Source organism: Homo sapiens, chromosome 13 (assembly GCF_000001405.40).
Source record: "Homo sapiens chromosome 13, GRCh38.p14 Primary Assembly".
Lineage (NCBI taxonomy): Eukaryota > Metazoa > Chordata > Mammalia > Primates > Hominidae > Homo > Homo sapiens.
Genome location: NC_000013.11, coordinates 74,356,694 through 74,373,216, shown reverse-complemented (window position 1 = coordinate 74,373,216; position 16,523 = coordinate 74,356,694). Strand labels below are relative to the sequence as shown.

The 16,523-nt window shown below is 37.0% G+C and overlaps 1 long non-coding RNA gene across 5 annotated transcripts in view; it reads right to left on the bottom strand.

Moving 5' to 3' along the window:
• LOC105370259 (uncharacterized) overlaps positions 1-16,523 on the bottom strand; it is a 120,734-nt gene that overhangs the window by 35,587 nt on the left and 68,624 nt on the right. For all 5 annotated transcript variants that reach the window (NR_187795.1, NR_187793.1, NR_187794.1 and 2 more), the window contains one exon: positions 8,130-8,192. This is a non-coding gene — a long non-coding RNA (uncharacterized LOC105370259). The remainder of the gene's footprint in view (positions 1-8,129; positions 8,193-16,523) is intronic.

Sequence of the window (16,523 nt, the reverse complement as noted above, 5' to 3'; positions counted from 1 at the left end):
AATAAACAGCAATCAGGATTGTGACTGAGGTCTTTCTGACTAGGAATCTTGTGCTCTTTATATTATATAGAGTTGTTGAAATAAAATGGGATTAGGCACATGGGTTCTGATAAAAATTAGATGTGACAGAATTTTTGAACAGTGTAATCTAATAGGAGATAAATTCTGTCTTACATATTTTAACTGAATCTCTTTCAGGGCTAGTTTAGAAATATCAGAATAGCAATGTTCGAGAGATAAAATATAATATCAACCTACAGTTGTATTTCTTCTGGATCCAATTTTTTGCATGTTTCTGTAAACATACAAAGATTATTTAAAATTTTCTATTTTTAAGCTATGGAAAAATACTGGCTGGCTATTACTGAACCATTTTCCCTTTCCTCCTGGCTATTTAAATGGACTACAATTTGAAGCCACCATTGTATTTAGATGTGGCCAAATGACTGATTTCTTGCCAACAGAATGTGGGTGAATATGATTGCCTCATTTCCAGGCATGATCCATAAATCCTCCCCAAAGGCAAAACCCAGTGTACCCTTAGAAGCCACATGTCAGAGATGAAAGTCTCTGGACCCACAAATAATTGTGTGGGTCAGAGTTCAAAATGTCTGCCAATGCAACAGCATGTCTTTATTTAAGTAAAAAATAGACATTGTATGAAATCAAGTGACTATATGTCCCACTATGCACAGAACAGTTTCAGTTTACACTGCTTATCCCAGTGTATTTATTAAGAGCTCTCCCTTTCATTCTTACAATTGCTCCAGCTTGAATAATAAGTGTAGTCTCTGTAGTAATAGGTCACAGAGATTTACATGTTATGACAAATAGCATTACCTTTCCAAAAACATTGGGTTTTATTTGTTGTACATTTATTTTCTTTAGCATACAATGGCTAAGCCAGCTATTTTTATTTTAAAAGTTTAAAAGAAAAACAAAGGCATACACAATAAATTGCAGCATATATGATTTATTCTCTATATTTAAGACTCTTGGCCCGTTTTATTAATGTCTATTTCAATGTGCCCTTAGTAAACAATGAGTATATATATGAATGGAAAGCAAACATATGTATGATTTACTCCCTGGCAAAGATAACCCTGGGTTTAGTGCCTGGTATATAATAGTACTTAATTAAATATTTCCTCCTAATGCTATGTTATCATTTCTATTATTTTTCTATTTTTGTTTTATTATTACTTTTAATAAACTGCTGATTAAAAATATAAATTAATACAATGTTTTTAAAAAGTAATCTGATAAAATTATTTAATCAGTGTTCATTATCTATGTCTAAGTAATCTAATTTCTAAAAACCTGTCCCCTTCAATTGAAAATGAGAGATATACAATTCACAATAATCTACACACAAATGGGACTTATTAGTCTAAGTAATTGAGAATTCCAAGAATAAATTTTCTATAGGCAACAATGAATAAGGGATCAATAACGTTACAGGGAAGTCTATATTTCTCTGCATCTCTTAACTTTTCCTTTCTCTGTACGTTCACCTCATTCCATGGAAACATTTTATCTTCAAGGCTAAGGATGTACATCACATCCTCACAGTTCAGCAATCCCAACGTAATAAATCCGTCTTCCATGACGGTTCCATCGACAAAGTCTCAGGGAGCACTCCATGTCACTGGGTGTGGTACCCATGCCCATCATTGAACCATCCCTGAGAGATGAGAATGGGTTATTCTGACTGTCTAACTTGATCTGGTTACCACTCCAGTGGTGGTGTTGGTTGGGTGGGGGTGGTGCATTAGGCTAAATTGCCCCATCAGAGACACACTAAGTGGGGGAGGGGGAGTTTCTGAAAGGAAGCAAAAAGGAGCAGACAGACAATTCCACAACATATCACTATAGATAGATATGGAAGCAAAGATATAAGATATGAACACAAAGATGTTTGTTACATTTTTCTGTTGGTAAAAATTTATAACAATTTCATATCAAGCAATGGGGGATTTTTAAATGATTAATAATATATGTATAAAATTTAAGATTATACAAGGAACAAAATCATGGCTTTGATAAATACTTAATAATATGGAAAATGTTCACAATATATTAGTGTAATAATTTTATGTGTCAAATTGACTGGGCCATGGGGTGCCTAGATATTTGATTGAACATTATTCTGGATGTGTCTGTGAGGGTGTTTCTAAATATGATTAACATCTGAACCAGCAGACTAAAAGAAGCAGATTACCTTTCCCATGGGGAAAATTGGATGGCAGGCTTCAGCCAATCCACTGGAGGCCTAAATCAAACAAAAATTTGGGTAAGGGAGATTTCACTTATCTCTGCATTATTGTCTTTAGGCTGGCATATTGTTCTCCTACCTTTCAGACTCAGAGTTGGACTGAAATTTATACCATCAGCTGCCCTGGTTCTCAGGCCTTTAGAGTGGGACTGGAACTCTATCATTGAGTCTCCTGGGTCTCCAGCTCACTGGCTGCAGATGATGGGATTTCTCAGCCTCGATAATCTTATGAGCCAATTTCTTATTTAACATTAGTTAATTAGTTAATTTCTCATTTAACTAATCTTTATTTTTCAAATTTTCAAACACTAGCCAATTTGTTGTCTTTTAAAATGCTTTTAAACGATATTGTCTATGTATTAGGGTTCTCCCGAAAGATAGAACCAATAGGAGATATATAGAGATACAATATAGAGATACAATTACAGATATAAATCGAGATATAGATATACATGTACACATACATCTATGAAAGGGGTTTATTAGGAGAATTATGAGAGACTCATGACAAGCTATCTGCAAGCTGAAGAACCAGGGAAGACATTAGTGTGGCTCAGTCCATGTCCGAAAGTCTCAGAATTAGGGAAGCCAATGGTGTAATTCTCGGTCTGAGGCTGAAGGGCCGAGGGGCTGGGTGGGGTGCTGGTGCAAGTAAAGTTCAAAAGCCAAAGAACCTGGAGTTCTGGTGTCAAAGGGCAGGAGAAGAGGGGTGTCCCAGCTCCAGGAGAGAGAGCTTGAGAGAGAGAGGAACAAAGAGAAAGAATTTGCCTTTCCTCCTTTAGTCCTATCTGGGCCTTAGGCAATGGGATGGTGCCTACCCTCACTGGGTGAGGGCAGATCTTCCTTACTCAGTCTACTGAATCAGTGCTGATCTCTTCCAGAAATACCCTTACAGACACACCCAGAAATAGTGCTTTACCAGCTATCTGGGAATCCCATGATCCAGTCAAGTTGACCCCTAAAATTTACCATCACAGTATATGCATCTGCTTTTGTATCATAAAGAGGAATATAATAAATAACCATTTTATTAAGATAAAATAAGGTTCTTGAAACAGTGGATGAAATAGTTTGTAAAATACTTCAAAAGAATGCTATTTAGAGGTTGATTTTTAATGGGAAGTGGGGCATAGGAAGGGAGAGAATTGTGAAAAACAAACAGTATTTTAGGATGACTCCCAGATTTCTATATTGGTTGACTAAATATATGGTAACGTTATTAACTAGTTAATGAAGAAGCAGGATTCCGTTTGAAGATGAGAGTGAGATAAGATAAAGAGTTTAGTTTCAGACACAGCAAATTCAAGGAGACTATTGGTTTTCCAGCAGATGTGTCCAAAAAAAATATTTAATACATAGTTTGAAGTTCCAGGGAGAAGTTGGCTGGAGATAGAAATTTGTGAGCAATCAGTATGCAGATTTTAGTTGAATCTATAAAAGCTTGTGTGGAGAGGGCAGAATAGGATGGAAATCATAGAGAGTTCTGACACGCAGTGAAGTGTGAGAGGAAGGAATAGAAAGAAGATGCTGCATTGTCAGAAAGGTAAAAGGAGAGACAGGAAAGAGTTCTGTAAAATGATGTAAAAGGGTAGACAGTTTCAAGAATAGATAGCGGCCAACAGCCACTTCTTCATTGAAAATTTATGCTTCTCCTTCTTTAGTAAAAAGTTGCCACTGACCCAGCAAGAAATACATTCCCCAGCCTCATGTGTATTTTGGTGGTGCCATTTTACTAGTTTCAATCAATAGAATGTGAGTACCAAGGCAATTGAAACAGAGGTATGCCACCTCTGTCCTCTTATTCCATTTCTAAGAGCTGGAAGCAGAGGACTACAAGATCCTAACTCATGACAGAGCAACAATAAGGAAAGAGAGAGGGTCCCTGAGTCATCACACAGAGGAAAGCCATCCTCACCTAAAAAACACCCATGTCAGACTATGATGTGAGCAAGAAATAAATTATTCTGCCAAGGTTCTAAAATTTTGGGGGGGTGTTATTATAACTACTATTGTCATAAGTAAAATATGAACTGAAAATTGTCTGTTGAATTTGACTGCTAGGAAATGATTGCTAACACAGGGATGGTTAGATAGTAGGCACACAGAGATGCAAAGTCAAGGAAGTTTTTTGTTCTAATATTAGGACCCACGGAGATTTAATCTTTTTTTTAACAGGCTGAGCACAAGCCATGAGAGAGAGAATGAGTCTGTAGAACAGAGAGGAAATTATCCATAGAGCAAAGGTCATGGAGGAGTCCTAAGGCCATGGGAGGTAATGACCTTGATCACAAGGATAGACACCTCTTCCAATGACTGTCAGAGGTTGGAGGAAGTGAGAAAAGATGAATAAATGCAGAAGATCAATCTGAGAGGGCACTTGAAGGTTCTAGTAAATATTATAAACATAATCATTGTTGAGCATCAAAGTTGTATATATTTTGGCAATTAAATGCCTGTTGTAATACTCTAAATTTTTCAAAACCCACAAGAAGACACACTGGTATCTATATGCTGTCATTTTCTACTTAATGTTATTGAAAAAGGAACCTCTCACCTTGAGTTTTCTTCAACTTGCTCATTCTTATTTATTCTCCTTTGAAGGTGATACATAAGATAAAGATCCCTTCCCACAAAACAACGTTACCAAAGATCTAACATCAAATACTGTCCCTAGAAGAGAACTGTATATTAAGAGTAATTCTTTAGTTTTCAGACACTACTTTCTGACTAAGAGAAACATGACAAGGCAATGCGATTATTCGTCTTCGGGTTTGCGATATTTCTGACTTACAGATATATTTATCTCTACACAGCCTCACCGTGGGACTGAATGTAATCAAACTAAACTAAAAATGTCCCCAAGTGCTGGAAATGATAGAAATAAATGAGGCAATAGAGAACAGGAAGTGATGGGGTAGGGGAAAGAGAAAGAAAAGCCATGTTCAGTTTCTTCATTACATTCAGCTTCTTAAAGCAGTGGTCTGCATGTCTGGCCTAAGCCCCCATTTTTATGTATTATTACATTTTCACTATAATGCCTTTTGATCATTTATAATAGAAGTGTGTGTCTGTGTGACTAATGTGAGACAATCTTTGTTAAATGAACAAGATTTATGCTCATGAAGCAACTGTATTGTTTCACAGATAGTCGTTCTAAGCCTTCTCTCTGTGTATTTTTCCTCTTGGATCATGGGCAAGTCCCATAGCTTTTCTGGCCCCCTCACTAGAAAAGTCTCATTTCAGATTTGAAAATAGCTAGACCAATGAAATAAGTACAATTTGTAAGATCCTTCAAGTTAAAGCTGTCTGCAGCTCAGGTCTGATGCAGGCAAGGAAGCCTTGAGTGCAGAGCTCAGCGTGTCCAGCTTGCTCCAGCATGTTCTAACTCAAGTTCCTGGACCCTCACCAGCCAGCATGAAAGAAGTGGAAGATAGTTTGTGGGCAAAGAGCACATGCTTAGGGTGCAGATGCAGTCATGATATGCTCTTGATTCCTTCTAAACAGAGAGCACGGTACAATCATCCCTTACTTTCCGGATGCTTTCTTGTGGGTTTGGGGTTTGTTTGTTTGTTAGCGGGGAGGAAGAAGCGGAACTCTATCTGTGCCTTTCTAAGGTAGATTGTGCCAATCCTCGCGCTGTCTTTAGGCTTTCCTCCCTCAGCCTGTTGGCATCCAGCAACCCACCTCACTCATGACTCTTGGAGGTCCTTCTGTTCTTCCAGGCAGTGTGCTTGGGCTCTGTCGCCACTGGGCCCACAAGGAAACTCTCTCTCTCTTATCCAGCACCTTGGTTGCAAATCTTCTTCCAGGACCGCCATTTTTCTTTGATACCAGGCGGGGGCACCCCTACCGCTAGTCTGCTGGCAGGAGGCAACAGTAGTCCTCCACTTCCAGAACACATTTGTCAAGCCTTCCAGTTGGCTCTCTTAAAGCTCCTGAAAACTTTTTCCTAGGGATTCTCATTCTCCCTTTCTCTTCATGTACACACTCTCATTCTGGCTCTTGCTCTTGCTCTCTCTCAAATTTCCACCGTTTTATAGGCTGGAAGTGTTTACCCTTGGCATCTGCTACGTGTCCTTCCTTAGGGACATAGAGTTACTTGGCAGTTCTTATGTCCTTATCACCTTTGAGACAAGACACAAGGACATAAAAGCCCCACTGCAGCATCCTAATACATTCATTTACTTAACTTCCCTCCTCTAGACTAGAAGCTCGCCAAGGGCAGAGACTTTGTGCACTACCGTGTTCCTCAGCACCTGACATGGTGTCTGGTACATAGTAAGTGCTCAATAAATATTTGTTAGATGAATAAATTCTGTTCTATTTATTCATTTCTGAAATAAAGCTCTTTTCTTTTTCTTTTCTTTTCTTTTTTTTTTTTAGAGACAGATTCTTGCTTTATTGCCCAAGTTGGAACACATTAGCATGATCATAGCTCACTGCAGCCTCAAACTCCTGAGCTCAAGTGATCCTCCCACCTCAGCCTCCCAAGTGGCTGGGACTACATTATGATGGGCTCTTTTTTTTGTTATTTTTTTTTGTAGAGACAAGGTCTCACTATGCTTGCTGTGTAGCCCAGGCTGGTCTCAAACTCCTGGCCTCAAGTAATCCTCCCGCCTTGACCACCCAAAGTGCTGGGATTGCAGGCATAAGCAGGCCTATTCTTATGGCTGCCCAAAGCCCAAATTAGCCACAGGAAGGTATGGTCTGACTTTAAGAATGGAAGCATTTTATTTCTTTTTGTCACACAATGATTAGCTCTTATATAGACTTGCACAAATTAGAGAACTCTTCACTATTTTTTTGTTAGCATGGGCTTAAATAAGGTGATATTAAATGAAATAATTTGACTGACAGAGGAGATTTTAAAGATCACCTAGCTACTCGGCTTAAAAAAAGAGATTGAAGGACTTGTGCTAAGTCTCAAGAACAGCTAGTTCTTGGCAGGGTAGAAGGCGGAACACAAAATTGCTCTCAGTTCAACAAGACAGTATGTTCCTTTTATTGAACACCAGGCAGTATCCATACTACCTCAGAAAGTACTTGCAAACCAGATCAAGTTAAGGTTTTTGTTTTGAACATAATTAGATGCTTCTTATTGGCAGACCTCATCATTTGTAATTTATCGGAATAGTGGAAATGTTTTAAAAATGTATGACTTTCTTATACAATTCTAACCAAACTGGACATATTGATTGACTGACTGACACTGAAGTTTACAAAATGATTTTTTTTTCAAGAGATTTAAAGTAATTATTTGAGATGTAAGTCTGATCCTGGCAAAACTGTATTTCTATAACTTTGCCACCAGTTGCTGTCTTCAATAAAAATCTATTTATACCCTGTAACATAGAGAGTTTTCTCTCTCTCCATAGAATTCCTATGGAAATTGCAGCTGGAACTGAAACCCTTCTAAGGCAGTGATGAGTTATCACTAGCTCTTGTAACCTGCTGAGTATATTTCTTATCCCTGCTGTTAGATTATAAGCAATATGTAGACATTTGATCCCACTTTGTATCTTCTTACAGCACCTAGTACAGAATGGATATTTATTAATATGTTTGCTGAATAAATGCACCAACATTTAAAGTCTGTGGAGTTTCTCTCTTGGGGCTACTACTCCATCTTCTTTAAGTATTATATTAACAGTATCTCAGAAAATGTAAATATTAAAAGTAACAGGAAATCCCTTGGAAATTCAGAATATTTCTTTATAAACAAATTGTCTAACTTTTCTTCCAAGTTTGACTTTTTTTATCATTTTATGGTATTCGTAGACTTGTCTTTAATATTCCCACTACAGGAATTATTGTCCTTAGCCAGAAAATGCACAAAATTTTGTTTTGGACTTACAGGTCTTGTAGGGGATGAAAAGTTACCTTCTCTGGCTCATCACCAAGTTCATGGCTGAAGTCCCTATAACAAAAGACAGATTAATGAGAGAAAAATTATACAAAATTATTTAATATAAGTTTTATGTGACATGGGAACCATAAGAATTGAATACACAAATAGGAAAAACTGTATTTTTAATGCCAGTTTTGGTGTTTTGTTTTTTGAGACAGAGTCTCACTCTGTCACCCAGGCTGGAGTGCAGTGGTGCGATCTCGGCTCACTGCAACCTCCGCCTCCTGGGGCCAAACGATTCTCCTGTGTGAGCCTCTCAAGTAGCTAGGACTACAGGCATGCCCCACCGATCCCGGCTAATTTTTGTATTTTTAGTTGAGATGGGGTTTGATCAGGTTGGCAAGGCTGGTCTCAAGCTCTTGGACTCAAGTGATCTGCCTGCCTCAGCATCCCACAATGCTGGGATTACAGGTATGAGCCACTGTGCCTAGCTGCTTAATGCCAGTTTTGATGAAGAAATGGATAGTCATGGAGAAGTGTGATTGAACAAAGGGGGTATGATCCAACGGTAATAAGCTGGGGGTACTTAGCAAGGCCTATTTGTTCACATTATTATCTGTGTCCCTGTGTTCTTGTGTGTTATTTGTGTCCCTGTGTCTTCCAGGTATAGGAAGGGCACCTCTAGAATGAGGGTCTTATGACCTGTTTCAGGGGAGAAGGGACAGGGAAGATGAGAATAATATTCCTGCTTCTACTGTTTTCTCAAATGCTGACGTGCCATATTTTGGTGTACTATGTTCTGAACCCCATCAAACTCATACCAGGTTACTGACATTTAATGACTTTCTGAACTCACACTATGCACCAGTTCTTCTATTCGACAATGTTGGAGCAGGAAAGCATCTGATGTGTCTAAGGCACAGGTCTTTTTCAGCTGGGTTTGAATGCTACTTCTTCCTTTTACTGATTTATGATGTTGTCAATTTAATTAGTGTCCCTAAATCTTAATTTACCCTTTGATAAAGTGGACATGATAGCAGAAACTATCTCATAGGGTAGTCAGGATGAATAAGAAAATGAAATCTATAAAGCATTGGGCATGTTGCTTGATTCCTACTAAGTACTCAGTACAATGTGTTAAAATGTTTGGTCATAATTGTCAGAATTTAACCAATTTCATTATGCTGATTGTACCTTCTTGACCTAAAGATAATGAATTACAAGAGATTGTATTTAAATAATTCAAGATGATACTCTGAGCACCACCGTATATAAGGGATGATGATAGGTTTCTATGAATGTATAGTTTTGTAAGGGATACCCACATATACAATCAAGTACAGGGAGGACAATTATAGCCATAGTTGGCAAAGTCAAGGTTCTTATAAATGATTTGCAGTTCAGAGGAGAAAGGGGTCAATTTATGCCAAACGCTGGTAAGAGACTGGTAAGAGACTGGTTCAAAGAGGGCTTCACTGGGGAGGGGACGTAAGAGCTGGGACTTGAAAGGTAAAGAGGACTTGGAGAGGAAATAATAGGAAGAATGGTACTGTCACCCAAGGAATCATGCAAGGAGAGGCTTGAAGGAAAACACAAGGAATGTTTGTTGAGCCTCCTGATGTTCATGGAGTATGGTGGCAGCTCAGAGTTTGAAGGTAGATTGATGGGCAGCCACAGAGTTCCGAATGTCTCACCACAGGACCATGGCCTGTATTCTGAAGACAATCAGAATCCATTGCAGATTTTGGAAGCACCATTCTGGTAGTAAAAGATAAGTAGAGGGAGGGAAAAGATTAAGGAGGAGAAACCATTGAAGTTATGAAAATTAGTAGTACAATTGAGGAGTGATGAAGGCCAGAGCCAAGGCTGTGTTAGAGGAAATAGATAGAAAAGTTAGACTCAGACCACAGATGAGACAGCACCGGAGGCACAGATGTCTGTGAGGTATATGGATAAGATATAAGGAATGCTCTTGTTTCAATGACAATGTAAAGCAGGTAATGACGAAGGAAACCAAAAAGACAAGGTTTGTGTTTGGGGGAGTGGCCAGAGGAGAGGGGAGGAGAGGAGATGATGTTGGTTTGAAAAATGCTAAGTTCAAAGTGTTTAGAGGAAATACAACTGGAAATGTTTAGCTAACAGTTGGATATATGAATCTGGAATTCTAGAAAGAGTTAGGTTAGAAATAGAGATGCAGATATGCAAGTCAACTGCATAGAGGTAACATTTGAAACCATGAGAGTAAATGAGAGCACCCCAAAAGAGTATAGAGCTAGAAAGAGACTTCAAATCAAGTCTTAGGAAGTGACTTCCTTAAAGGACAGTTGCTGGAAGAATAAGCAAAGAAATTTTTTAAAAAATGGAGAACTGGGAGAGGCTGGAGTCCTAAAGTCAGAGATGAAAGAGTCCCAAGAGTGAGCTGGGGATAATTTTTCCATGTCCACAGTCACTGCCATAGTTTAGTTCCTCGTATTTCTTGCCTGAATTTCCTGCATGACAGAGGAAATGCTGGCATGAGTTTTGTAAAATAAAAATTTTGTCATGTCCTTTCTTGGCATAAAATCCTTTACTAATTCTCCATAACCTTCAGAATTAAGTATTTGAGGAGCAGAAAATATCCCTCCAGTACCAACCACTTGCTTACCTTTACATCATCAGTCACCATTCCTCTCCTTTATAACCTAAGTTTTTCTTGAAGTTCTCAAAATTATCTGTTCTTTCTCCTGATCTGACCGTCCAATATGCTTCTTTTGCATGGAACGTCCTCCCCTGATCCAAAAAATCTGTTCACCTTCAAGCCTCAGCTGAGGTGTCATTTGTTTCTATCTAACCTTCCCCACTCCTACTCACACTCATTGTGTCCAACACACACACACACACACACACAGAGTTGGGATTAAACATCTCTCTAATGTGTTTCCACAATACCCTAAAACAGGAATTGTAGCACTTTAAACTTAATAATAATTGTATTTGCAGCTGCAATGACCATGTGCCAGACATTACACCAAACATACCATACACCACATCACATTTTATGCTCTAAACAAATCTACAAAGTACTTTTGTTATCCCTGCTTTACAAAAGAGAAAAAAACCACACTAGCAATGATATAGAGTGACAAATGCACGAGATTATTCATCAAGACATTATTTGTGATGGTAAAAGATTGGAGAAAATCCAAACACCTATCAATAGAGGATTGGTTGAATAAATTATGGCATAGACACAACACACAAGGAAATATTATACAATGTATAAAAGGAATAAGGAGGTTTCTTATTACCATGGAGTAATTGCTGAGATATATTTTTAAGTTAAAATAAAGCAAGGTGCAGAAAATTTGATAAAGAAAACGTTGGAAGGAAAACCAAAAACAAACAAATACAAATGGTTACCTATGCCGTGAGAGAAGAAACAACGTGAAGGGTACAGGAATACAAAGATTTCTTTGGATATACCTTGCTACACAGTTTCAGCTTGGGAATCATGTAAATAATGTGTATATTTTTAAAATTTAAAAGAGCTTTCTCTAAAAATAAGTAAAAATAAATAAATGTAGTTGTATACAAAATTAATAAAACAATATAACAAAGAAAACAATCACGTGACATTAGAATACAATATTTGATTACATCTCCACATTGGAATATTTTCTGAAGACAAATAGAGCTGTAAAAATATGTGAAACTTTGTTCAGTAATTTTATTGTTAGCATTAGGTTGGTGCAAAAGTAATTTCAGTTTCTTTGTAATAGTACCGATAGTAATTTTGGTACTAACACCCTAAGATTATATATAAAAATACATACACACATATGTATAGACGTACTATATATATATAATTTTTTATATATACTAACTATACTCAATACACATATATTTCTCTTACACTGAAAACTAAGAATTTCATTGTGTTAGAAAAGAAATAAAAGTATAAAATTAAAGAAATTAGAAAAATCAGCATGAACATGTGTTTTTTTTTTCAAAAATATGTATTTCTTAAATATGTTCACTGTAAGAAGCAATAAGAATCCAGTAAAATAAATTCTGGCCCAATTTCTTTTACTGGCCCCTAGATTTTGGTGCCTAAATATCATTTCCCACAATAGGACCAATAGCTAATTCTAGATCTGAAAAAATATACCAACTGAGCCTGGGAGCCTTTTTTTGGGGCAGGAAAAGAAGGAAGCAATTAAAGTCCTGTGGAATTATTTAAGAATAACACTAAAGCCAACCTAAAGAGGCTTTCTTTGGACTGAGATAGAAAAATTGGAGAATCAAAATGAATTAAGAGCTTAAAAGCAATAATTCCAGCAGCAATGAACATACCTAGCACCTAGATCTTGGTTTCTAATACCGTTTTCTAAAAAAAAAAGCAACCAGAGCTCCTTAGAGAAAGAGCTTATTCAGAACTAAGGAAGGAACTTTATAAGATGAGCCTGGAGCATCTAGTAGTGCCAGAAGGTAAGGCAATGTTCACAAACAAACAAACAAACAAAAATTCACAGCAATAGGAGTATGTCAAATAGACACAGGAACTCACTGAAAGAGCTCCCAAAAGTCAAAGTTGGAACTATTTAAGCAATAAGATAAAGTAGTGATTGATTATAACCTAAAATCTGAAATAAATACATTAGTCTTTACTGAAATAAATGATCAAAAAATAGAGACAAATCTCCCATGCGAAAGAATTCTAGATAATTTTGTAATACTCTACCATTAAATGTGGATGGCATATGGTGAATTCCTTCCACAGAATACAATATGGAAAGGCAGAAAAAAAGAGTGACTTTACACTGCAGAAATCTAAAAAACACTGCATCCACCAGGTGATCAAGGACATCAACAGTGATCAGTTATGTTGATTGCATGTATCCTTGATAAGATGTGATGAAATGGAATTTTCCACTTTGGTCTTCCTCTCAGAAATCCATAATCTCAGTATAATCATGAAAAGGATATTAGACAAATTCCACTGGGGAACATTTACAGAATATCTGACCAGCACTCTGTTAAGATTATCAAAAACAAGTCTAAAAAACTCTTACAGCCCAGGGGAGCTTAAGGAGAGACATCACAACCAAATGTTATGTGGTATCCTGGATGGGATCCTAGAACAGAAAAAGGGTATCAGGTAAAAACTAAGGAAATATGAATAAAATATGCATTTTAATTAATAATAATGAATCAATAGTGTTTCATTAATCGTGGTAAATGATCCACATTAATGTAAGATGTTAATAATAGGGAGAATTGTGTATGGAGTATATGGGAATTCTCTGCAATTTTTTTGTGTAAACCTAAAGTTATGGCTACATTTCATTTACATATGTGAATATATCAAAATCTTTGACTTAATAATGACAAGAGAGAATGAAAAAATACCTGAGACTGGGTAATTTATAAGGAAAAGAGGTTTAATTGGCTCACAGTTCTGCAGGCTATAGGAAGCATGATGCTGCCATCTGCTTAGCTTCAGAGGAGGCCCCAGAAACTTACAATCACTGTGGTAGGTAAAGGGGGAGCAGGCACCTCACATGGCCAGAGCAGGAGGAGCAAGAGAGCAAGGGGGAAGGTATTATGCACTTACAAATGACCAGATCTCACAAGCACTCACTTACTCACTATCATGAGGACAGTACCAAGAGGACAATACTAAACCATTTATGAAAAATCTTCCCACATGATCCAATTATTTACCACTGGGCCCCACCTCCAACATTGGAGATTACAACTGAACATGAGATTTGGATGGGAGATCACAGATCCAAACCATATTAGCCCCACTCATCACTATTAGAGATAACTAGGGCATTAGTTACTATGAACACTGACAATTTGTAGAAAAAGAAATAGTCATTTATCTTGCTTGTCTGTATAAATTGTATTTCAGGGCAACCAAATAGTCCTAAATGATGTAAGGAAGTTATATTTTTAGATAAATTGTGGCTAACACATGTAGTAGGAAAAATACAATTAGAAACCACCATCATGCAAGCCTCAATGAGATAATGGATTCCAGCAATAATCATCAGTGGATACAATCACTATATAAAAGTAGATTGAAACATTCCAATAAACAATTCTGGCTGTTCTGTTAAAAGCAGAAAATCAAAAACCTAGTTCCTCCTTATCTGGTATAATATGAATCCCACAGAATCTTCTACTAAGTACTCCAGCTGAAAAAAAATATATACACCTAGACTCCTTAAAAGTCTAGAGCTGGCTTCTATTTATAGAAATTATGGGACATAAAAGAGCAAATTAAATGACACACAAGGAAGCAATCAAACAAATCCAAGCTGTGGGAAATTCTACAAGAAAACAACTAATCCAGTGTCAGTGGTAAGTCGATTGCATGAAAAAAAAAAGAGAAAAGGATCAAGGTAGGTAAAGAACTAAAACAATCAAATGTGATTTGTGAACATTGAATTCTGATTCAAACATATCAAACGTAAAAAGATATTTTTAGAAAGTCTGGGAAATTTAGTATGAACTTATTACTAAATCATAACAAAAATATTACGTTTGCATTTATTATATGTGATAATGGCATTAAGATTATATAGGAAAAAGTTTGCATGTTGTATAGATGCATACTGAAGTACGTAGGAGTGAAATGGAATGAGATCTGAGATTTGCTTTGAAATTCCTCAGTAAAGCAAAGGAAGGAAGAAAGGTCAGGAAGGAGGAGGGGAGAGAAGAAAAGAATGACAGAGGAAGCCCAAATGGCAAAACCTTGCTAATTCGGGAATCTGGGTTATGGCTATAATGAAGTTCATATTGTACTTTTGTCTTTTGTGTATGCTTGAAATTGTCTATTAAAAATATTTTTTTGCCATAGAAATTAATGCTTTAAGCCTCATATCCAGAAATGCAGATGCTGATATTTTTCAGGATTTTTCCCTATCTCAGTAGTATATGACACTCTGCACTGAAATAAATTTTTTTTCCTCCACTTTTATTTTAGATTTAGGTGTTACATGTCCAGGTTTGTTACATGGGTAAGTTGTGTTTCACTGGGGCTTAGCATATGAATGAGCCTGTCATTCAGGTAGTGAACATAGTACCCAATAACTAGCCTTCCAATCCATGCCCCCCTCTAATCTCTTTCTTCAAGCAATTCCCAGTGTCTATTGTTCCCATCCTTGTGTCCATGTGCTGTCAATGTTTAGCTCCCACTTATAAGTGAGAACATGCATTATTTGGTTTTCTGTTCCTACATTAGTTCATTTAAGATAATGGCCTCCAGCTGTATCTATGTTGCTGCAAAGGACATGATTTCATTCTTTTCTATGGCTGCATCATATTCCATGGTGTATATGAACCACATTTTCTTTATCCAGTCCACTGTTGATGGGCATCTTGGTTAATTCCACGGCTTTGTTATTGTGAATATGGCTTCAATGAACATATGAGTGCAGGTACCTTTTGGTAGAACGATTTATTTTCCTTTGGGTGTATACCCAGTAGTAGGATTGCTGGGTCAAATAGTAGTTCTGTTTTAAGTTCTTTGAGAAATATACACGCTGCTTTTCACAGTGGCTGAACTAATTTACATTCTTACCAGTAGTGTATAATTGTTCTTTTTTCCCCACAGCCTCACCAGCATCTGTTCTTTTTTGACTTTTTAATAATTGCCATGCTGCCTGGCATGAGATGGTATCTCACTGTGGTTTTGATTTGCATTTCTCTAATGATTAGTGATAATGAGCATTTTCTCATATATTTGTGGGCCACATATATGTCTTCTTTTCGGAAGTGTCTATTCATGCCCTTTGCCCATTTTTTAATAGGGTTATAGAACGAAGCTGGAGACATCACATTATCCAACTTCAAACTATACTACAAGGCTACAGTAAGCAAACAGCATGTTACTGGCACAAAAACAGACACATAGACCAAAAGAACAGAAAAGAGAACCCAGAAATAAAACCACTCGCCTACAACCACCTGATCTTCAACAAAGTCAACAGTAACAAACAGCGGGAAAAGGACTCCCTGTTCAAGAAATGGTTCAGGGATAATTGGCTAGCCATATGCAGAAGATTGAAACAGGACCGCTTCCTTTCAGTATATACAAAAATTAACACAAGATGGATTAAAGACTTAAATGTAAGCCCTTAAGCAATAAAACCCTTAGAAGAAAACCTAGGATATACCATTCTGGACATCAGCCTTGGTGAAGAATTTATGACTCAGTTCCCAAATGCAATTACAATAAAAACAAAATTTGACAATTAGGACCTAATTAAACTAAGGTGCTTCTTCACAGCAAAAGAAACTATCAACAGAGTAAACAGACAACATACAGAATGGGAGAAAATTTTCACAAACTTTGCATTCAACAAAGGTCTGATATCCAGAATCTATAAGGAACTTAAACAATTCAACAAA